Below are 25,418 nucleotides of genomic sequence, written 5' to 3' on the forward strand. Positions count from 1 at the left end.
CTCACTACCTAGACAAGAAAAAGACACTGCAGAGATTTATTCCTATTCTCCACCCACTTCCTTTCTACATTGGGACTCGCCCCCTCCTATATTTCATTTCTGTTTTAACTCAATAGATACGCATCAGTTTTTAAACTTTTTTACTTTTCACTGAGTTCACACATATGGAAAATATTTCAAGGTAAAAGATATGTTTTAAGTTAATTTTTAAAAATACCTATTATTATAATAGAAGCCAATTTCTTGTCTTTGCATAAGTTATTGTCCCAGACAGTAGAGCTTGAGGGAGCTCAGAAAGATTTTTTAATAAGTAGCAAAAGTAGAAAGAAAATAAAATGGCCAGAAACCCTGGTATGTTTGCTGTAAGCCTACCTTGCAGCTTGCGCTTGCTAGCTACATTGCAAGCTCACCTAGACCACATTATGATCACAATGTCACCATTGATGCTAACGTTCAATTCTTCTTTACAAACTTTACATGATCAAAACCACATGGGCAAAGAAGATGATGGAAGAAATTAAGTTAAAAAATTAGAAGCCACTTTTTTAAGTCACATGAAAGATAGCAGATTGGCAGAAAGCATTTGATGTTTCAGCCCCTGTAGACCTTTGTTTGAATCAATGCCAAAATAAAGACAGCACTTAGAGGATTTCAAGTTTTGTCAACTCTCTAGGAAACATAGCAAACTGCTTACTCTGCACGTAAGTTAGGAATGGAAATAAAATTATTTAAAAAGTGTTAAGGGAAACCGTTGTATTCTGGGGTAGAATACACAATTTCAAGTTTAATTGGGAGGTCAAGGAGAAGGAAAGAAACAAACTCAAAATATACACGTGCAGAGTGCGTTGGTTATCTTACAAATACCATCAATTCATCTCAGTCTTTTATTATAAAACATGTTGACTAAATTAATGAGAAAGATTGAGCAGTTTCTTCAAACTTCCGTGAAAGACCAAAGCATGAAAAACATACAAAGCTGAAATTCTTGTGATGTGTTGTAAAGATTTTTTCATTACTCACAAAGTAGTATGTGTAACAAGATGTCAGAGGAACCAGTTGAAGTAAATAGAAATTCAATTAAGGAAGAAAAGAATGAAAGGTTTTTAGAGAAGCAGAAAAACAAGACTGCACATAGAAGTGCGCAGTGAAGCCTCCCTTCTCATTAAGGCAATTGGTTTACTGTCCCTGTTGTGCTTTATACTCATGCCCTCCTCAGAATACCTTGTTCACATCGTGAGTCACTGTGCACTAGCTCTGTCCATTTCTGCTTTAATCCTGTGGGTTCTTTCATTTTAAAATGACTAGTGATGCCTGGCATATTCTATCCTGACTTGTTCAAGATATCCCTGAAGAGCTCCCCTCACTAGCCACATAGCAGCATAAACTAGGGTTGTATATTCACTTATTGCTAAGATTTTAGAGGAATTGTAATGAATTCAAGGGTAAGGCATTGCCCAATTAATTAAAGGTAATGAAAGTGAATGCAAAACACGAGAGTCGATCATCCTCATTTTACTCTTCCCCCTGGTTTCTCCTTTGAGTAGGAAAATTGGTCAGGGTACCATGACTACATCGATGCTGTTTTGTGAGTGGGAATCAGAGTATTTCTCCTCTCCTCTCACCATAGTTCCTTTCTTTATACATTAGTTTGAAGGCAGCATATTCCTGTAATAATCTGTTCCAGAAACAAGAATTAGGTATTAGGAGGAAAAAAGTGACTGCAACAGAATAGGAGGCATCACTCTGAAAAGAAAAGATTTGTTGTTTGGAGTAAGATAGAAAAAATGACATCAACAATGCATTCCAAATATTGTAATTTCCCAAACACTTATGTCAGATATCATTTTACACAAGTGGTTTCATATTGCTTAAAAGCTTGGTAGACAGTGAAATATGAAAACATATTCATATTCAAGTAGAGAAAGAGTAGTGTTTATGGTAACCCACACACATTCTGATTATTGGCAAACATTCATATAGATAAATCTCCCTTTTGCTTGATAATGAGTGACCATATAAAAAAATCAAAGCAAAATACAAAAGGATAAGAATCTACAGGAACAAACTGTCCAATTAAAGAATCAATGGAAGAATTTGACCTGCAGCGACAAATTGTTCAATTGATCCAATATATGTAACCGTAATCTGAAGCCTAAGAAACAGTACAGTAGAATAAATAAAAATGCTGGATTTCAGAGGAAGGACACATTTTTGAAAGTGTTCTCTTCCATGAAACCAAAGACGATTTAAAGAACCAATTTGGCATCTTCAATAAGATGCACAGAATAGGGATTGGGCTGAACCTATGGGCATGGTGGGCTCCAAAATCCAAGGCAGGTAGTTGTGGTTGAGACCTATGCTCCTGTAGTTAGTGTTCCCTTGCAAGTATTTCATGCAAGACGGAGACCAGAAACAAAACCATGGCCTGAAGTCAGGTTGTAGAGAGGCCTAAGTTACCTCTGAGAGGAAGCTGAGGCTGAAAGAAATGGAACTATGTTGTTGGCTAGACAGAGTTTATAGAGTCCTCTGGGCTCAGGGAAGTGAAAGGAAAAAGGAGTCTTCTACAGTGAATTGATCTGACTTATTTTTATCACCAATGTCACTACAGAGCTGAAGCCAAAACAAGAAGGCAGGGAGAGCCCAAAGGAAAAAACAAAAGAAGAAACCCTGAAACTTCTGTCTCAAAATGACCCTGAGAGCCAAAGAACATCTATCGCTAAGAATGGCAGCCAACAAAATGAAAACTCAAAATATGAATTCACTCCAGATAAAAGTGACTTTTTTGGAAGAGTTTGACGTAGACTTTGAAATAAGCACATTCAGGATAATCAATGAACAAAAAGTGAGCATTATAAGAGAACAAGAAAAAATAAAGAAAAAAAGACATGAAATAACTACATATCAACATAGAAAGAATCAATTTTAAATTGTCAATAAAATTAAACAGCCTATTGAATGATTGATTAAAAATGAAGAATAAATTTAGTGTTTCCAAGATGTACTAAGAAAAATTCTAGGAAAAGAGAATGGAGAGATTAGCCAGGAGGCTAACTTTGAAAATTATAAAAGGAGTATTTTGGGTGTTTTTGAAATGAGCAAACATTAGAATCTTCAGGTGGAATTCCCACTATAAATACTGATCAGAGAGAAAAATATATTACTATGCTCATTAATAAGAAAATTTAAAATCACAGAAATCTTCATGGCAGAGCAGGCATAGTAGGCATATGCAAGTCTTAGGCAAGTGTTCATTGCATAGCAAGCAGTGCACGTCTTAGCAATGCAAGTCCTCCCGAATATATCTTAGATATAATTATATAATTCCAACCCAAATCCCAGCAGACTGTTTATCTTGGAACTTAATAAGATAATCTTACCTTCTTTATGTTGGGAAAAATGTTTCCCAAGGACTCCTTCCCTGTATGGTTCCATGTTTGAGTTGTCCAAAAGAGGATTGCATGCAAAATTTGAAAGATGGGAGCAAACAAGCAGCCATTACTTTCTGAAGGTGACCATAATGAAATGCACGGACAGACAGACACAAAAGTGCTTGTCTTTATTCTCCTATGCTTTGTGTCCAGCTCTTTTTTTTTTTTTTTCCTGGCTGATAGCCCTGGTGACCATGTGTGACTCCAGGTTACCAAACTCTTAACATGGACTCAAAGAGGTAACAGCTTCTCCATCACCTTCCTCTTCATATTCCAACTTTGGAGGTGAGATGTGTTTGGCCTCTAGGCCGATGAACTGGAAATTTCTCTTATTCTTTAGCTTCACCTACTTCAGTTATTTATTGCTGCTTATCTAGCTATTACCCTTACTCTTTCCAACATTATTTTGCTTGCAATTGTGTGGGTAAGGAACTCAGAAAGGGCTAGGCTTGACAATTCTCCTCTCACTCAAATGGTGGTTACTAGAGTGTTCACTTGCAAATTGTTGCCACTCACTCACATATCTGGTGCCTTGGGCTCCTTCTCTCTTTATCCATGTAGCATCTCATCTTCTGAGGACTCTTCATATAGCATGGGCTTTTCACCTGATAGTCATTCTTTACATAGTAGCTGAATTCTAAGGAGCAGGAAGCAGAAGCAACCAAGCTCTCCTGGCTCCTACTACATTTTCTCTCACAGGCATTTCCCCTCTACTGTTTTGCATGTTTAATTTTGTCTTAGTATCTGTTTCAAAAAGGTTCAGGAATAGTATAGACTTCATGCCAATAAATTTGACAGCTTAGATAAAACAGACATATTCCTTGAAATACACAAAAAGGGAAAGCATGTCTAAAACACAGATGTGATAGTTAATATTGAGTGTCAACTTGAGTGGATTGAAGGATGCAAAGTATTGTCCCTGGGTGTGACTATGAGGGTGTTGCCAAAGGAGATTAACATTTGAGTCAGTGGACTGGGAAAGGCAGACCCGTCCTCAATCTGGGTGGGCACAATCTAATCAGCTGCCAGCATGGCCAGAATAAAAGCAGGCAGAAGAACACTAAAAAACTAGACTGGCTTAGCCTCCCAGACTACATCTTTCTCCTCTGCTGGATGACTCCTGCCCTCGAACATCAGACTCCAAGTTCTTCATCTTTGGGACTTGGACTGGCTTCTCTGCTCCTCAGCTTGCAGACGGCCAATGTGGGACCTCACCTTGTGATCCTGTGAGTCAATGCTCCTTAATAAACTCCCCTTTGTGTATACATCTATCCTGTTAGTTCTGTCCCTCTAGAGAACTCTGACGAATACAATAGATAACTTGAATGGCCCTAAATAAATAAAAAAACTTACATTCATACTTTAAAGCTATCAAAGAAAAGGACAGACACAGGTAGATTCACAGGTGAACTCTGCCAAACATTTAAATTATGAATAATCGTTATTCTGCACATAAGGGGGGAATTCCCAACTCATTTTATAAGGCCATCATCATCTTGTTATCAAAACCAGACAACTCCACTACAAGTAGAGAAACCAGACTAATTGCCAATTAATATATACATAGAAAGTCTAAACAAAATTTTAGCAAACAGAATCCAGAAATATACAAAAAAGATAATATTTATGATTGTTAATTTTATGTGCCAACTTGACACATAAAATTACAGAGTTCCCAGATATTTGTAAAACATTATTCTGGGTGGTGTGTCTGTGTGTTTTGGATGAGATTACCATTTACACTGATAAACTTAATAAAGAAGATTGCTCTTGCTCATCTGAGTGGGCCACATACAATCAGTTGAAAGCCTGCATAGAACAAAAAGGCTGACCCTCCTCCAAGTAAGGATAATCCCTGCTGCCAGACTGCCTTTCAACTGGAGTATCAGTGTTTTCTTGCCTTCAGCCTTGAACTAAATCATCGGCCATTCCTAAATCTCTGTACTTCATCAGGTACTACTGTATAGATAACTCAAGTAATTTTTGTATTGTAATTCCAATAATTAGTTAGGCCTGACATGTAGCTCAGATAATCACCATAAGTTTTCTCTCTTCTGAAAACATTTGAGGCATACAAGATATCAGTGAAAATTCATCACTTTTGCAGTGAACAACTACCCAATTTGTATTATGTTTCTAGTTACACTATGTACTACTCAACAATAGAGCTGATCTTTGAATATCAGAAATATACAGTGCTTTCCTTGTAGTTTTGTTATTCCATGGAACTGTAATATTCCCTGTCAAGTGTATTTTTCATCCCTGGACAGTAACTATGTCTTTAATTTCTCTCATTGGATGTAAAAGTTTATATGTGCATGATAATGTGATATTGGCAAAAGGATTTTTTTACTAAGATAATTTGAAATAACTATTATATATACGCCATATAATGCTTCCACGAAGATAATTTGAATTAACTATTATATATATGCCATATAATGCTTCCACTGTTTTTATTAACAACTTATTTAAATACAGAAATTTCATGATATTACAAGGTTTCTGCACAAGAAATCACATATATCCGAAACTTGTTCAGCTGTCTACAGCAAAGATTCATTTTTCTCTTATCGTTTTGATATCCAAAATGTTACCCGGCATGTATATCAATAGCTCTGTTACTATCATATGTTGTTCTTGTTTGAACACAGGCACTTTAAACTGTTCAAATTTCAGTAAAATGGTGCCTGTCATCTATTTTTATATTTTAAGAAAACATAAATGTATTGGAACCCTTTGTTGCTGTGAAGTTGTTCCCCTACTACACGTGAAATTGAGTGTAAATATTGTGAACTATTCAATTTAATATGGAATATTTATGAAACATACAAAATTCATATTTATGATGAGCATATTCATTCAGATCAAAGAGAAACTTTACAGGAATTGATAACTGAGTGCAATGATCACATTTGTCAGGGTCTAAATGACCAGTAGTAAGCTTGCTATTTGTGTTTGAAGTTCAACTCCCAATCTAATATCTCAGAAAACTGAAATTTCTTTTGGAAACTATTTCACATTTTAACTCAATTTCTCCATACAACGTAGTTAGCCTCAAGCCTATATCATGGTGGGGCAAATTGATCCCATAGAAACGACTCCATTCTGACAAAAACAAGAAGACCAAACCACTGCTTTCTAGGAATAGGCTCAGATTTTTTTAAATCAATGCTTAAAAAAGTATCAAGACCTTAAACCAGTACCGCGCTGGGCTGGTTCCTATTGGGTTGCAAAAGTGATTGTGCAAATCTTTTCCCAACTTTATATTCAGGGACACTATGCCTGATATTGGTTGTAGTAGAAGTATTACCACTGTAGAGTTTGGCAACCGTTACAAATCATGGCTTTTAAAAAGATAAGTGTCCCACAACCCTAATCCAAGCTTCTTAGACTAGTTTTCAAAATTGAACCATTCATGGTAAATACAGAGAATGTATAAGTGATTGATTATATAAAGCAAGTACAATCACCTTTATAAGAAAGAAATGACGTATCACAAATAACTAGCTCTTTTAGGATTGTGTCACACACCTATCCATGTGGGAATCTGAAGAGTTGATTTTATATATAGACTTGTCAACTTTGGAATAATTAGATGCCCTATATGGCATGGTGTAGTTCATTGATTTTTCCAGAACAATGAGGTAGGTAATAAATGTGTTTAAAATTTTAAAAACTAAAGAAAGGAACATTAGCAAAACAAAAACAAAAACAAAACCACACCCTCCTTCCCTCCTTTCTAATGTGCAGGGTATTTATGGAGGAAAGTGTGGTAATTTAATTAGAATTTACTTATTTTATAAAAATGTTCAATTCTAGAAGAAACTTTGCTTTCAACTGTGTGTAGTATGCATGAGCCATTTTCTTTTGCATTTTCAAAAGGCAAAACAGCCAGTTTAATGTTCTCCTACAAGATAAAAATCATTTGAACAACATATATCTAATCATTGTCTGACTACTCATCAACTGCAATCACGTCCTGACAACCTTACTTTATTTCTCATCTGCTTTTAACACCACTTCCTTCACTGCTAGTCCAAGGATTGGCAAACATTTTTTTGTAAAGAATCGGATAGTATGTTAAGCTGTGTAAGCCAAGTACAGACTTTGTGACATGCATATTCTATTCTATTTCTCTTTTCTTGTCTTCTTAAAAGGAAAATTGTTTAAAATCCTTTAAAAATGTAATAACTGGCAGTATTTAACCTGTAAGGAAAGCATACTTTGGTTATCTCTATCTAATCTAGCATTTTCTATTGTGGCATGCGTATTCTATTCTATTTCTCTTTTCTCGTCTTCTTAAATGGAAAATTGTTTAATATCCTTTAAAAATGTAATAACTGGCAGTATTTAACCTGTAAGGAAAGCATACTTTGGTTATCTCTGTCTAATCTACTCTCTTGTGCCCACTTTTACTTACTCACGTCTTTTCCCAACAGCATTCTGTCACACCTCCTAATAGTTTTGCTCATCATTCCTGCCTTTTGTCCGAGATACTCATATTCTCCCCTATTATAAGCACTGCACATTCTCAGATTTTTTATTTTGTGGTCAAAACACATATAACTTTCCACTTTGGCTATCAGCCTTTCTTTCATTGTTTCTTTTTCATCCTCTGCCAACCTCTCTTTTAAATATTAGAAAGTATCCTAGTTTCTATTTTGTGGTGACCTATTCTGTTATTCTTGCGTGTAAAGTGAATTATTTACCTCTCTCTCTCTTTGATTTTATTCGTTACCTTTCTTGGTTTGCTCTTCATTATTTATCTCTCTTCTTGTAGAAGTCTATCTTGTTTCCTCTTCTGATAATTTTCCTCTCCTATGCTTATTTTTGTTTACCCTTTCACATCCCATACAATGTTTCTACTAACAGCTACACAACAATTCCTTCAAAGAAGAGCTCTCAATAAAAATGTCTTTATTTATTATCATTGCTTTATACATAACTTCTGTCTTTTACGCTTTTCCATTTGTAGAAAGAAAACACACAATCCCATGTAAATGCTTCTCACTTTTCTTTAAATAGCATTAAGATTTTTTCTTATGAGCATCCCTGAAAAACCGCATAAATGCTTAGCAAATTATGTGAAAAAAAAAAAAGATAGGGTTAGAAATCTGCTGTTTAAGCCTCCCTCAGATTTTTCTTTTAGAGATATTTTCCTGGAAGGCCTTGGACATTTATTTTAAATGGGGGATTGTTACAAAAAGAAATAAAGCCCATTTAACCAAAACTAGAGAATAAAAACTATCCCCCTGCATAACCTTAAAAGAGCACAAAGAAAAGCTTTGGTTTTGAAAATGTGAATAATTAGTATACTTTAAAATTTTTCACATTATTCTGTATACATTCATACAGATTCAAATAGTATTATAAAATATTCTCACAATTTTTCAAAAATATAAAATGTCTTATAAAAAAGTGAGAAAGTTTTTATTTTCAACTTATTTTTATATACACCTTTAAGATATTTTCTTTAGCAAATGTTTCTCTCTAATTTGAATGGATGTTTACTGAATAAATCAAATTGGTTTTGCTTCATTGACATTACTATAAGCGAATTCCAGTAAATTTAAGACCACATTTTATGAAATGCATTCAAATAGAAAAGTCTATTATGTTATCAGAGTGCCCTTTGAACTTATTTTAAAGTTTGTGAAAAGTAACGATTACCTTTTTTTAAAAAAAATCCCAAGTCTTTGAGGAAGCACTTGATGCGACACATTTTAAGAAGTAATGAGAACAAAAAAAGTGAAGAATGGCCTGCTTTTCAAAACAGCAATTTATTGGCCTAGATAAGAAATGGATTTTAAACTTGATAAGATTTTTAAACTTAGATGATTAACATATAATCATCTTCTAATAGACTTCTATTACTCCATCTGAGTGTTTAATGTGAAATCTTTGTTAAACACATTTACGTGATAAATCTCCAAGTGCCACTTATCTTCTAAAATAAGTTGTGGTACAGGAAGTTCACATTCTCTTTCCTCTAGTTACTGAATAAAAGCACATATTTCAAATTTTCTCAGCTAGTTTTATGCATGAGAACTTTTCTGTATATTATTAAAGCCATATGTTACAAAATGGCTATTTCAAAGTAGATTAATAGATTATGTAATGCATAGGTCTAAATCATATTGATTTTAATTATTTTAACATTTCCCATTTTAATGTTTTCTATTTAAACTTAGATATTGACTAATATACATTCACTTACTTTCTCTTATACTTAAGATGCTTTAAATAAGAAATATGGAATAATTTTTCAAAATAATTGAATTTGTTTCATTTTTTTCCTTTTAAGCAATGTTATCCAAAGTAATTTCCTAAGCCCCTCTGAATAAAGTTGTCTACTTAGGCTTATTTTGGAATTATAGAAAATTGCAGATAGAAGCAAATTAAAAAAAGAAGATTAAAAGATTATACTGGGGAGGGATCTGAAAAGAGAGGGAGATGAAGATACGGTAATGATAGTAATACTGTATTATACTAACATTAGGATGGAAGGACCGGGGTCCCCAAGCTTACATAGCCTCTACTTTGGCACAGGACATTGTGTTCAGACCTCAACAGAAAGATACAAAACTATAGACGATTATAATGTGTCATTAAATGAGATATGCACCGAGTTGTTTACAATAATGATATGTCTGAGATACCAATGCACTTCTAAGTATTTTTCCCCCACAAGTTTTACTAAAACACAGCTTTGTTATTACCTAAGATGGATAATTTCTCTGTAAGAAGAATGGACCTGCTTATTAGTAACATCTCCAAGATAAACTGCATCTAATGCTGCCTTACCACATACACTGTTTTTGTTCAGCATAATCGTAAATATGAGCAATGGAACATAATATTAAATATTTCATGCCCAGCACTTAAAGAAGAGTGCCATCATTTTTTAAATGTAGAAAATCAAATAGAGACAAATGCTGCAATTATTGTATCCTACAAATAAGTTAAAGAACTGACATTAATGTTATGGTAGTCTGTGTCTATACTCCCCAATGCATTGTTACAGGTAGGTAGATAGGCATGAGCAGGGGGAGGAGAAGGCTCTTCTCCCCTACCCACTAGGAATGTCAGGTGATGGTTTGACAATTATCACACTGTCTCTCCAAAAATAATAATTCAGCAGCCGGCACAAAGGCTCCAGGGAAAGACAGTCTCCTGATAATCCACAGCTATAAACATAAAAGTCTTAATTGAACAGAGATGCCAGAGAGAAGCAACTTCCTGGTCATGTGCATTAGGAGACAAAATGGCGGCCAGGAACGGTGGCTCACATCTGTTATCCCAGCACTCTGGGAGGCGGAGGTGGGTGAATTACTTGAGGTCAGAAGTTCCAGACCAGTCTGGCCAACATGGTGAAACCCTGTCTCTACTGAAAACACCAAATAAATAAATAAATAAAATAGCCAAGCGTGGCACACACATGTAATCCCAGTTACTTGGGAGGCTCTCACTTGCATGCTGTCACTTCCCAATGGTAAGAAGGGCAGTGCACATGTGGGCAGCCCAGCCTAAGGGAAGAATCATGGGAAACAGGAGAGCCTATAAAGTCCTAGAATCACAGTTAAACGAGGCACTTGACCTTCAGACACTTAACCTTCACATGCCTGCTTGGGTCTTTTCCAAGCATATCTTCCTTTCTTTCCTGTTCTAAAGCCTTTTTAAATAAACTTCCACTCCTGCTCTGAAACTCACCTGGGTCTCTTCTTCTGCCTTATACTCCTCAGTCGAATTCTTTCTTCTGAAGAGGCAGGAATTGAGGTAGCTGCAGATCTTTCCTCTGGTAATTCCAGTATGGTGAAGACAGTATGGGTGAAAAATAAATTTGGAAGTTAGCACCCATGTGTAAGATTTTCAATAACTCTAAGTGCTGATTATATGTATTTAGCAAAGTAAACCTTTTATTTTTGTTTTAACTTTTTTGTTGTTATCTAGACTGAAAACAATGCTCTTCTCAGGACACATTATTAAGACTTCTAAGACGCTTCTCTATTTATAAGAAGAATACATAAATGTCTACTATGTGAGTCACTAATTAACGAGGAAAACAAAATTACAGCTCAATTGTTCAACCTATTTTCGATTTTTTAGTTTCCGCATATTTCTGTCTTTTCAACCATTGCCAGAGCTTCACAAGAGTAATTTGTGTGCATATCTGAATTTTGTAATCAACTTATTTTTTTAAATATGATTTTATAATGCTCTTTCCTATAACTCATCCACTATTGAGGTGTTAAATTTCCATTCCTAAGACTGACCGTTATGAAGTTTCCCATTCTGACTACAGCCGAGCATTTTTCCTTTCTTTCGTGACATCTCTCAATGAATATGCATCCCCAGTAGAATGTTTATTGAAAAGCTTTTGTCCAAATGCTATGCCTTTGCTCACGTCATTTCCCATGCCTGGAAATGCTTCCATAAGGGATTCTAGTCCAATCGTATCTATTATAAAGAGTTAGTTCAAGTCACATTTAACTCTGTCAAAGTCTTTCCATGTTGGCTCCTTGTCTATAATGTCTGAAATCTAGTTCATATCAAACGACCTATTAGATAGTTTAACCTACATTTTTTTTTGGAGTTATGTAACTATTGCTGTTAATTGTCTTTTTATGCATTTACACAAGGGATTGCAGATCCAAATGTCCATGGTGGTCAGGTTGGTAATTTAGTGACTAAATCAGCCAACTGTAATGCAGTACGCCTACACTGCAACAATGGGAGCAGCTGTTGCCACCTGCAGAATGTGCCAAGGAGCAGCCATTTCTCAGCTCCAGTCAATTATTGTTCTGTAGAAATGCAAGGCTCATTGTTGCCAGATGTTTGTATTATAAGTAAATAAACAAGAAAGTTGACTTTTTAAATGTAAAATCCCCTGAATTTTAGAAGTTGTTTCAGTTTTTAAAAACATTATAAAACTCATCCAGCCATAGGCTGCATGTATACAAACTCTTATTTATATTCCTAATCCATTCAACCACACATTTAACAAATATGTATTGAATACTTTCCATGTATCAGGCACTGTGCAGATCACGAAGAATAGTGGTGAATAAGATAAAGCCCCTCTTCTAAAAAGTGTTTACAGTCAAATGTGAACATATGCTACAACATTTTTCAGTCAGACACATCCTGATACATATTAAGTATTTTGATTTGATTTAGCAATAGAACAATGGCTAATATTAGAAATCTAACATGCTACAATAAAATCAGAACAAAATAGCAGAAGAAAAATCCCATAGGAAACAATGAAGATAAATAAAATAATAAACAGCTGTCTTTTCTCTTCATACACGTACATACATAGGCACATGTGGATATGAATAAAATAGACCAGACAATGCTATATTCTAACACCACTAAATCTTCTGTCATGCTCAACTACAACTGCAAAATATATTGAGATGTGAATATTGTGCTCCAAAGCAATATTCTGCAGGAATATTACTGTATTCTCACCGTTGAACAGATTTCAACAAAGAATATCTTTGTGACATTTATAAATAGTCTATGGTTTTTTTTTCAAAATCTCAGATAAGGTAGTGTTGAAACATTGAGTAGCTTTACTAATGAGATAGTTTTCAATACAAAATAAGTAATTTTAAAATGTTTTATTTAAAAAAAAAGAGGGAATCAGTCACCTACAGAGTATGAAAGTGACCATATTCCCCAGAGAGTTTAAATTTACCTTTCTGGACTGGTCTTTTCTGAAAATAAGGAACATATTTGTGAAGCATTAAAAAAATCTTTTGCTTCCATAAATGTATGCAATCCTTTAACATTGTTTTATTCTGTTTTTTTTAATTACTCATTTTCATTTCACAATGCCCTACAGGTCTATCAGGTGAAGTAGTTAACAAATAAACAAAAAATAATAATAATGGAAAGGAATGAGAATGGGGAAGAAAAAGACACATTTATTATATACTAAAAAAGTATTGGTTGCTCTTTTGCTCCTTCCCTTCCCTCACCTTCCATTCTTCCTCTTCATCTTCTTCTCCTTCCTCCTCTTTTATTTCAAATGATCCTTCATAAGCCAAAAAATGGGTTATATAGAAAATTATCTTAATTTATCTCTCACATTTAAGTGCTGGAAAATGGTTTGTAAGTTTGATTGATGCAGAATATTTAAGAAAGTAACCAACAACTAAGTCTGTTTATTGAAAACAATTTTGTTTCACAGATCATTATAAAATCAAACTTAAAATGCAACAAAATATAAAGACTGTATTTATTACACAACAAAGGGGTGAAAAATGCTTTCATCTTCTTTAGAATAGTTGCGTGCAGTTGGATTACAGTTAGAAGGTCAGCATCTCCTCCCCAATGGCCCCAAATCAGTTCTGATATGAAGAGCTGGAAACAGACAAGATTAAACTCTGATTACTTCTTTGAGGATGAGATGTTTTTAAATCAGAGTTGGCAAACCCTGCCACGAGTGCATCTGTCAGGGATCAAACTCCGTTGGCATTAAGGTTCATTCTAAAACCCAAAATGTACTTCATTAAGTATTTCTCTTTAAAGCAATCATACTGACTCTATTCATAGCCAGAGCATAAGGTTTTGAAAGGTGTTAATGATCAGTTTTTTAAAAAGTTCTTTGATGTCTAAAAAATTCTTGAAATAAGATCATTTAAAATTAATTGGAAGTGAAATTTACTAAAGGCAAATGTTCACACAAATCAATTAGTTCAGATTTGATCCCTAAAGCCAAATCCACAATTTCTAAATGGAGTCTAAACTTCAAAAATTATTTCTCCTTCCCCTCTGTAGAATAATTTGAGACAACAATATAAAAATAAGATGATGTAATTAGACTTCAAATCCCAAATTCACATTGTAATATTCATGAGGTGTTCCTAGTTTCTCAATTCTTCTTGCATTAAATTATAAATGCTCATTAACCAAGGGAATGAGATGCAAGGTTTTCAGCCTTAAAGTGAAAAAGGTCATCTAAACCACTAACAGCTGAAAACAGAGACTAAGAAGAAAGATGTATTTAGGGGTTGAATAATACGTATTTACAGAGGCCTACAGTGTACTCTGCAGTTGAGATTGCTGGAATCTATTGAAAGATTCAGGGATTGAGCTTATTTACCTATGCAGAAAGGATACTGAAAAAAGGAATAATAAGAAATATGGTCGGACACGGTGGCTCACACCTGTAATCCCAGCACTTTGGGAGTCCGAGGCAGGTGGATCATCTCAAGTCAAGAGTTCGAGACCAGCCTGTCCAACATGGTGAAACCTCATCTCTACTAAAAATACAAAAAAAAAAATAGCCAGGAGTGGTGGCAGGCACCTGTAATCCCAGCTACTCGGGAAGCTGAGGCCGGAGAATCGCTTGAACCAGGGAGGCAGAGGTTGCAGTGAGCCAAGATCACACCACTGCACTCCAGCCTGGGCGACAAGAGTGAAACTCTGTCTAAATTAAAAATAAAAATAAGAAATATGGAGAAAAATCACAATAATGAGTTGTAGAAGTGTTAAGCATAATAATAGATGTTCTATATATAGCATAACATGTATTGTTCTTAAGCACTTACTCTATGCTAGACCCTCTTCTAAGAGCTAATGCATATTGATGCATTTACTCTGACAACAGCCCTATGTAAGGGGAAGAGACGATCAGAGAGGTGAAGTACTTGCCCACAGTGACTGTCTTAGTCTATTGAAGGTGCTATAACACTTTGAGGGGGGTGTTTATAACATAAACCTAGAGGGGGTGGTTTATAAACAACAGAAATTAATTTCTCACAGTTCTGAAGACTGAGAAGCTCAGCATCAAGGCACCAGCAGATGTGGTGTCTGGTGAAAACTTGCTTCCTGCCTCATAGATGGTGCCTTCTGACTGTGTCATCACACGGTAGAAGGGGCAAATGAACTCCAGTGAGCCTCTTTTATAAGGTCACTAATCCCATTTATGAACACTCTAATGTCATGACCTTATCACCTCCCAAAAGTCCCACCTCCTAATATTCTCACCTTGAGGGTTAAAATTTTAACATGAATTTGGGGTTGGGTGGGTCACAAACATTCAGACTATAGCTGTCAGTCATCAAAAATGTCTAGCCCTGGATTGAATTCTTAATCACCAACCACTATTGTATTTTATGGAGATGCTTCTCTATAAGATGGCTAGCTAAACCCCATAGTAACATGAAGACAGTGGGTAGCTACAGGTTACTTCTGCCAATATCACTGAGGCATCTTGTGCTTAGAAAATTTTGTGACTTGTATGGTACATATGTATTACAGTTTTATATCTAGGTTACAGAAGACGGATTTTACACCTTCTGGCCTTCTTTTTCATCTTTAAGCCTATCGTGTCTGACTCCCATTTTGTTGTGTTTCCACTCCTAGAGTTCCATGTTTTCCACATGTTGGAAAGACCTTTTCATTGTAAGATTCTCTATCAGAGCTCCTTGGGCAGAGAGGGTGACCTGTCACTTTAGAATGCTCTAAACCAGAGTATTCAGGGCCTTGGGAAATGAACTTTATTTTCCATAACAGTTATCAAAAAAAGCTTAGTGGTTCAAGCCACTTAAAAGAAATGTGGTCCCTGCCCACATGGTGTGGAGATAATTGCCTCATCTCTGCCGTGGTGTCTGCTGACCAAAGCTCTCCTTTGTAAATCTCTGCATGAGTCCCGCAGTGCAGCCACAAGCATGGCACATGTTTTTTATCCATAAATAAGAGGAATCCCCAGGGCTCTGTATGGCTTGCAATAAACTCAAAATTAACTATGATTTTAGTTCTTAATATTAAAAAGGAAAGAATGAGTGGAGGTGGGAGTGACAATTCAGTAGGACACAAATGACAAGAGGGAGATTCTTTTATAAACTGGGGTTTCCTACAAACTAAATTTCTTTCTGTTCAGAAAGTCCAATAAAATATGAACATTATTGGGAATAAAATATCAGCATAAGGCCGGGCGCAGTGGCTCAGGCCTGTAATCCCAGCACTTTGGGAGGCCGAGACGGGTGGATCACAAGGTCAGGAGATAGAGACCATCCTGGCCAACGTGGTGAAACCCTGTCCCTACTAAAATACAAAAAATTAGCTGGTTGTGGTGGTGCTTGCCTGTAGTCCCAGGTACTTGGGAGGCTGAGGCAGGGGAATTGCTTGAACCCGGGAGGCGGAGGTTGCAGTGAGCCGAGATCGCGCTACTATAATCCAGCCTGGGGACAGAGTGAGACTGCGTCTCAAAAAAAAAAAAAAAAAAGAAAAAGAAAAAAGCCAGCATAAGAAATACAAATGATTTCTTTCTATCTAGCTTGAGCTATCAAACAGGACTTCAGTTTTCTCTTCAGTGGGAGGGTTGATATAAGCGGAAGCCAGTTTGAACCCTACCTATGCCAATGTCCTTATTGTGGACTTTGGAAGAAAATAACTTAAAAGTGACATTACCGTTATGGAGTAGTAAAAAATATTTGAGGGCATGTTAATCATTACTAATATGTATCTCACAAAAATGTAGACTTAACTGAAAACTCATCAATGCAATTTTTTTAAAAAAACATAAAATCTTAGGTATTCAAGTTCCATTTTTTCTGTTTTAAACTAATGTTTGAAAGCATCAACTACTGTTTCTTAATATGTTATATACTCTTATGGAAAATTCAAACCCAGAACTTTAAAATGATGTCCTTGTTTATTGACAACTGACTTCAGGAAAAAGAGAAGCACATCTCAAATGCAGACAACTTCAAGTTCTTCCATTTCTTCTTTACACATCTGAATTTTACTTTTCTTTTTATATATGAAAGCAACCCAAGATCTTTTCCAAGAATTTGTAGTCAGCAGGGATGAAGAGACTTCTGACACTCATGACTTGTGAGACCTCATGACGGTCAAATAAGGAAGACCTTGCTGTATTTTTTAAGGATGGAAACGGCCAAGAGGGAGAAGGGGAGCTTTGTACTGATAGTCAAAAACTTTGTTACAAATGAGAAGACTGACACGATGTTTGCCATAGGAGTCATAGTATTTGTTGGGGTGGCGGGGGGGGTGGAAAAAAGTAAAATATTATTAGTCTGCTGAGATTTTAACTGTTTCTCTGACTGGCATTCTGTATGATATGTAATCATGTCTATAATGAGGACTCCTTTCTTTATCTACATGAGCAATTCTCCTTCCCAGGTACTGATAATTTCAAAATGAAAGCCATGTACATACTCTGTTACATTAAAGGAGGAAGAAAACACAGAATGCAATAATATTCTGCCCTCAGATGCCCTCATGATCTCTCCATCCCTTCCTCTCCTTCATACAGTAACACGGAGGGAGTCAAAATGGTCTGGAAGATCTCTAACACATAGTGAGTGACTGTAAGTTATTTACACTAATTAGGCAAAAAAAAAAAAAAGTAGTCTGTATCAATGGCCATCGAATTAAACTTTGTGCATTCTCAAATTCCATTTCATGGTTTACATTGCTTAGGTAAATGTGGCCAACATTGGTGTTTTTGATTTTTCTTTTCAAATATGAGATGTAATTTCTATATGCATGCTCAGGCTATGTACTGTGTTTGCCTTTCTCAAAAAAAAAAAAAAAAAGAAAAAGAAAAAGCAGGCTTTCTTCTACCAATACCAAATCTACCTATTAAGACTGAAATACAGAAAGCAGGCTCATGGCTGGTAGAGATACTTTTTAACATTCCAAGTGAAGGACCATAAATTAAAACCCACTTTTTCTGTTGGGCTACAGTAGCCCAAGACTTCATGTATTTTCCCTATTACATAATATAAATGAGAGAATATGTGTTGCATTTTAAACTAGTATAGCTGTTTATTGAAGAGGTGGTCAGGAAGGGGTTTCTCACAGTTTCTCGTCAAGAAAAAGAATGTCATTGTTAGCTTTGCCAGAATTTGCTTCTATTAGTAAGAGTTGCCTTGGGTGGCAGAGGCGTGGGGGCAGGGATGGTATATTGGGATAACTTGTAAGTTTAGAGACCCTGTTGGATTTTGGTGACTTGAGAAAAATCGATCGTTGACTTGGATAAAGAACTGATAGAAGACAAGAAGGTAGCTTAAAGATTCTCCAGGAGAGTATGTTTTATTTGACCAACAATTATAAAAGTTGGACAAAACCCTTCTTCCTTTCCCCTTATCAGAGCAGTGGTGAGAACAACTTCATCAGGGAAGACAGAATGAATTAGCTTGTCCCAGCCTCCCACTTCTTTATCCCTAGAGGAGAGATTCCAGCTTCTTTGACTCTAGGCATCTTGCAGTTCTCTGCCCATAATCCCTTAAGGATGGGGCTTTCCTTAGCCTTTCTGTTTCTTACTCCATCTGAGATCAATATGTTAATTTAAAAAATACCCCAAAAATTAGGCCTTACGTATCTACTTGGAAAGATGTAAAAATTCAAAGCAAAGGATGTGTATCACTGATTGGCTTCTTTAATTGATAATACAATATGGTCTTTGAAACTTTCTCATCCCTTTATAAGTTTGACGTCTAAGTGGAGAACTCACAATTCTTACCTACTTCTTACAGAAGTACCTTAAAAATTAATAAAAGATTGTGTCTGTTCCAGGTACCTGACTAGAATAAACATAATAGTTCTATTTTTCCATGGAGTAAAGAAATTTTGGAACTTACCAAAAATACAAGCAATAGAACTTTCTTTATAATGTATTTTGCTATATATGGGATTTAGGTATAGTATAGTAATAATAGTAATAATTAACATGTAGTGCCTCTTGTATTGCAGGCATTATTTCTAATGCTTTGCATATACTAGATTAACTTATTTAATCTTGAATATAACTCTGTGAGGTTGATCTTTAACTTACAAATGAGGAAACTGAAGCTCAGATAGGCAATGTGCCCAAATCACACATTCATTAAATAATACATCCTGGTCATGGTGGCTCACTCCTATAATCCTAGCACTTTGAGAGGCTGAGGTGGGTGGATCACTTAAGCCCAGGAGTTGGAGACCAGCCTGGGCAACATGGCAAAACCCTGACTCTATGAAAAAATACAAAATATTAGACAGGTGTGGAAGCACATGCCTGTAGTTCCAGCTACTCGTGAGGCTGAGGAGGGAGGATTGTTTGAGCCCAGAAGATGAAGGTTGCAGTGAGCTGAGATCACACCACTACGTAGACTCCAGCCTGGGCAACAGAGTGAAAAACTGTCTCCAAAAAATAAAACAAAACAAAATAAAATAAAAATAATAATTCGGCCTTTATTTGAACCCAGGCAGTCTGACTCCTGAGTTTAAGCCCTTAATTATGACATTGCTACTACCTCTCTCTGTGCTTATATTATTGTCAGTACATGCCTTTTGACCCAAAAAGACCGCATAGCCTCCAATTTGAACATCATCATTCTAAAGGATTTCATCTGCATTCTACCTATTTCAGTACATAATCCACTGTATAAAAGCTAAGTATTGTTGGAGTCACTGTTAATAAGGTCTTATGTAAATATTTATATTTTCTCATATTGACAAATAATAACTTCTCAATTATAATAGATCTTGAGAAAGCAATCTCCATTATTATATTTTGGATTTCTACTTATTTACTCATGTTTTGATAAATTTTAAAAGTGGTGACTGCTATTCATAGTTCTTCTGGTTTTGAATCATGGCAAATATGTATACTTCTATAGTCAGAAGCTTGAGGACAGATTTAGTTCTCTAAATGACTGAGGTGACACATCCACTTTAGTGCAAAATTCAAGACTCATCTCTTCTTCATATTTGTGAGGTTCTTTCTCTAAATCTTAATAATGCATATACATTTCCGTTAGTGTTAATTCTTTTTTCTTCTCTCATGTAACTAAATTTTAGAGGAGTGTTCATTATCAAAATAACCTATTACAAAAATTCCTAGATTTTTATGAATTGAATCAGTCTTTCTTAGTGGATTTTTTTCATATAAGATTGATTTTTTATGTATGGATTATTTTATTTGTAATTATCTTGGTACATTGTAATTAATTTTTTGCTGCTGTTACTCTAAAGTTATTAGTATTTGATGTATCCGGTTGTCTTTTCCATCAGTATGATTAGACATAATAAGTATTCTGGCAGTTTGAATAATGACACCTTTATTGATCTTTGTGTATTTTAAAATTTTGCCTTCTTTAAAAGATGAAACTATTCTAGTTCACTTTTAATTAAATCCACATGTATGCTTAAAAATGCAAATTTTATAAAAATGTACATATTATCACAGGAAGACTAAAAGACAAATGTACTTAGAAAAGAAAAAATATCAATTCAAATTTAGAAGGACCTGGGTTCACATTAAAAATTAGAATGGAAAGGAAAGCAAAAACATAAGATTACCACGATTACTGACTTTACACCTCATTCAGGGGTTTCATATCCTTAAAAGAATTCACTTAAAAAATTGAACCAAAACCATCTGAAACTCCTCTCAGATCAAAAGCCCAGAAAATCAGACTTCAGTCCCTCAGTGGCAGCATTAAGAACTTAATCCAGTGAAAACTGTGGCAGATTAGTGAAATTAATGTAATTAAAATTGTAGTCAAGCACCATTTCTACTCATACCTGAGAGAAATCTAAATGAGAATTCCCTGACCTTTCCCAATATACCGAGAGAAAGGCTTGAATTTTTTGGGAAGACAATACAAACGGGTAAAAATCTGGAATACAAGAAAACTTGGAAAAGTGGACAGGCTGAAAAATATCACCCATAATCAAGAGTTAAGAGAGTTAATAGAAGGAAATACACATATAACTTGTGTATTAAGACCATCAGACAAATAATTTAAAATATTCATCACAAACATGCTAAGTTATTAATGGGAAAACATGCATATAACAAGAGAAGAGATGAATCTTTAGAAAAAAATAAAGCTCTAAAATTAGCCAAGCAAAAATTTGGAAATTTAAAAATATAGTAAATGAAATAAAAATATTCATTAAACATCTTAACAGAAACTTGAACATTGTTAAACAAAGGGTTGTACATTTGAAGGTGGATCAACAGAAATGCTATGAACAAAAGCACAGAGAAACAACAACGGAAAACTAAAAAAATGATCAGTGTATCAGTGACCTGTGGTACCATATCAAATGAGTAAACATATGTATAATTGGAGTCATAGAAAAAGAGATGAAAGGGCAGGAAAATATAAAGAAATTACAGTCAACATTTTTCTAAACTTGGTGAAAAATAATCAACCCATATGTGTAAGAAAGACATCAACCAGCAATCTGGATAACTACAAAGAAAAGTATAATGGGCAATATTGTAGTCCGACCTCTGAAGTTAAACAAAAAGAGGCTATCTATCATAAAAACAGCCTGAAAGGAGGAAAAAAGAAAATGAAAGTAAAGCAATTACAAGAGATATCATGAACATCTCACCAGAAATTATGGAAACTGAAAGATGATGGAATACAATATTTGTCAATAAAAAGAAAGAAAAAAGATTTTATCACAGAATTTCATCCTGTGTCCAGAGAAAGAGCTTCTCAAAATAACAGCATACCTGCATTACAGAAAGCACTAAATGAAGTTCTTCAAGGTAAGTGAGAAGTATACCTCAACTCTAATCTATAGGGAAAAATTAAGTTCACTGGAAATGTTCATTATGTGGGTAAGCAACTACTCCTTTTCTTAATTTATTTGAAAGACAGCTGACACTTAACATAACATAGTGTGGAGTCACTACATAGTAAAATATGTTAAAATTGAGTAATGGGAGAAAGAAATTACACTGTTGAAGTCCGAAGTGTTGAATTACACTGTGGAGTGGTACTATAATAATTTAAGGTCAAATAGGAGAAGGTAATGATGTGTATTTAAATCCCTAGAGCAATATTTTTAAAAATTGTAAATAAAAGCCTAGGGAATGAGGAACCAATAGAGTAAATAGAAAACAAATAGCAATCTGGCAAACTTAAACCAATGATATCAATAATTATGTTAGATGCAAAGGGCTGAGACACTCGAATTAAAAGGCGGGGACCATTGAACTGGATAAAAAAGCAAGGCCCAAGTTTGGGTTGTAGTCTGTGCTCTGGAATAAATAGTTCTGTGAGATTTCTTGACTCTGTTTCTTTATCTGTCATAAGGAGAAAAGCAAACCTGTCTCACTGCAAATAGGAGTATGGTTGGTACATAGCAGGTGTTCAATGAACTTGTTGAATTAATGAATGTTGAATGAACATAGGCATGCTGTTACTATTAAATATAAAATTAAATGCAAACATATATATATAACTCATTCAAAAATTAAGGTCAAATTATTGGTGAACTTTCTTTATTTTTTATTTTTTGCTTGCAATCAATGGACAACTTTTATTAACAAGAGATGTAGCCAGGGGGACTTTTAATACTGTCAGATAGAAAATAACCAAAAGAGAAAAGGGCTTTTCTGCAATGGCAGCAAGTTCTGATGCTAGACTTGGTGGAGAAGAGATTATTTTCCTAGCAAGAGCCAAGGAGGACAATAAACTCTCCTGCTGTGGCATTCATAGGCAAAGGCATATGTGGAGTTGGCCTCAATTCAGGGAAAGCAGTACTTCTAACAGTGCACATATTTGTGATGCAGGAGGAAATCTCAGTGTCCCCAGCAGAAGAAAAGTTAGCACAATGGACTTGACCTACAACTTTTAGTATTTATCATTGCAGATAACTGTCCTTATGCAGACATCATCACTTGCTGCTTGGAGAGGCAAACTGCATAGCAAGAAGACAAAGAGCTAATCTGAAATACTGAAAAATTCTGAATGGGATCTTTGCAGAGTAAGATACTTTTTTAGGAAGAACATTGTGCCTATAATTATTAGCTTAGGAAAATGTAAAAGAAATAGTTTTCAATTTTTCAATTACTGAATTATTGGCAGCTGATGACAATAATGTTGGCTAGCTTTCTGTTTGAAAACTTGGCCTCCACAGACTCTAAACTATGACGAATTATCTTTATAAACTGCTTTTATGAAATCTGGTTTCTGAAGTTGGATCAGTGAGCATAAAATGGATTTTTGGTATTTCACGTATTTTTACATTCTTTGTAGTCTTAGTGCTATTTATTTAAAAGATGACTTACGGAAGATGTTTAGGTATCATTTTGGAGGATTTTTCTGCTTATAAATTTTATATATGGAAAAGGTGATATTATGCTTCTAATTCATCTTCATGAAATGTAAAAAAAATTCCATAGGACTCCTAAGTTTAAAGATTTAAATAGCATAAAATAATTTTTAAAATAAAGAGTTCTTAAAGTTTATATTATTTAACCTTGCTATACTAGTATAGCAAGTTTATAAAATGAGAATATGATTAAGCCTAGTCTTTATTTATCTATCTTGTATTATTATTTAAATTTTATATATTTATTAGCTCAAAAATAATGTTTTCTTTCTTTAAATTTTTTAAATAAAAAATTATAAATATATTATTCTTAAGATTATTTACTAATTCATTTTTAAGTTGTGTAATAACTATCATTTTTCCCCATATTTAATGATTTGAATGTACTTTATTCAATGTAGTTTATTCAAACATCAGTGTTCACCATAATTATCAATTTTCTTTTACAATAATAAAAGATCATTATACTTTAATACTGGGAGACTCAATGCAAAAAAACAAATAACAGGAGTTTTCAAACTGTAGGTTATAACTAAAATGTTTATTAAATTTGCATGGAAATAGATATTACTAGTAAATCTAAATAAAATGATGCTTTTTTTCTGATAAAGATTTGGTGATCAGGCATACTGTGATATATTATTATTCACGGAAAAAATCAGTTCAGACAGACCAGAAATGTCATTAAAATACCTATCAAGCTCTTGAACTTTCCAAACATTGAGATTAAAATTGAAGCTGAAGAGGAAATTTTGGGTAAATCTGTGGTCAGAGTAAAACTTCTGGCATCTCCAGTGTAAAATATATTGGTAAAATAAAACACTAGGGAAGAATGTACTTTCACTGAGCTGTGGTCAGAAACTTTTGATTTAACCTAGTAACTAAAACATGTGTTCTGATATAAGAGTCTTGTAAAATTAGTACCTCTTGCCACTGCCAAACTAAGCAGGCATCTAGGCAAATAAGTATGCCAAGCTGTCCAGTGAAATGGCGGCTTCTTGTTCAACAGGTCTATTCATACGTCTAGTGTGAGGGACTGGAGTGATGTCCAGTGAAAGAGAAAGGGAATTCCTGTACAACAGGCTGTAACAGAAGGCTGGAGAGAGTATAGCTGAGGTAGGATGGTGATGGTGTATTGCTGATCCTGCTGGAAGGAAGCAAACTGTTCCATTGGTCTCTTACAAACAGAAAAATCATTCATTAAATCAATACGTCCCTATCAGGTGCCAGAGGAAATGTTCATTCGCTCCATCAGCAAAACCAGATCTGGAAGAAAAATTGCATCGAAATCACCACCTGATTGCATTTAGAATAACATATCATATTCTACAAGAATAATCCATCAGTCTTCTGCCTAAGCCAAACAGGCAGTTGAATAGGGATGGCATAGGAATCATCACCTCTGAATCTTTCAAGTTCTTGATAGTGGCCTGAATCTTGAAAATTTCCCCGGTAATGCAGGATTGCTTTCAATTTACTATGCTTTACGTAGAGTCAGTTCCAGTGGCTTCCACTTGGCTTTTTTTTTTTTTTTTTTTTAGAAGGAGTATCGCCCTGTCACCCAGGCTGGAGAGCAATGGCGCGATCTCGGCTCACTGCAACCTCTGCCTCCCGGGTTCAAACGATTCTCCTGCCTCAGCCTCTGAGTAGCTGTGATTACAGGAACACTTGGCCTTTCTAATCTTAATAGCTCTCACTCTATAAGTCAAGAAATCAGTGTGGCCATTCTACCAGTTGCTGAGTATGTCTATTTGAACTATGCATTCCAGAACTGGAATGTAACTATTGGTTGAGTTGGGGACCCATTTGGCACACTGAGAAATATAACTAAGCCAAAACTCCATTAATCAGCTCACTTCCATACATTCCCTTTCTGATTGGCAGATT

At 35.0% G+C, this 25,418-nt stretch overlaps 1 annotated feature.

Annotated features, from left to right (window-relative positions):
* Positions 22,671-23,209: an enhancer, noted in NCBI's record as "OCT4-NANOG hESC enhancer chr21:31387153-31387691 (GRCh37/hg19 assembly coordinates)". NCBI's record gives its function as "activates a minimal SCP1, AML or CMV promoter by ChIP-STARR-seq in naive H9 embryonic stem cells {active_cell/tissue: H9 hESC(naive)}" and the evidence as "EXISTENCE:reporter gene assay evidence [ECO:0000049][PMID:30033119]".

Source organism: Homo sapiens, chromosome 21, assembly GCF_000001405.40.
Source record: "Homo sapiens chromosome 21, GRCh38.p14 Primary Assembly".
In the NCBI taxonomy this organism is placed as follows: domain Eukaryota; kingdom Metazoa; phylum Chordata; class Mammalia; order Primates; family Hominidae; genus Homo; species Homo sapiens.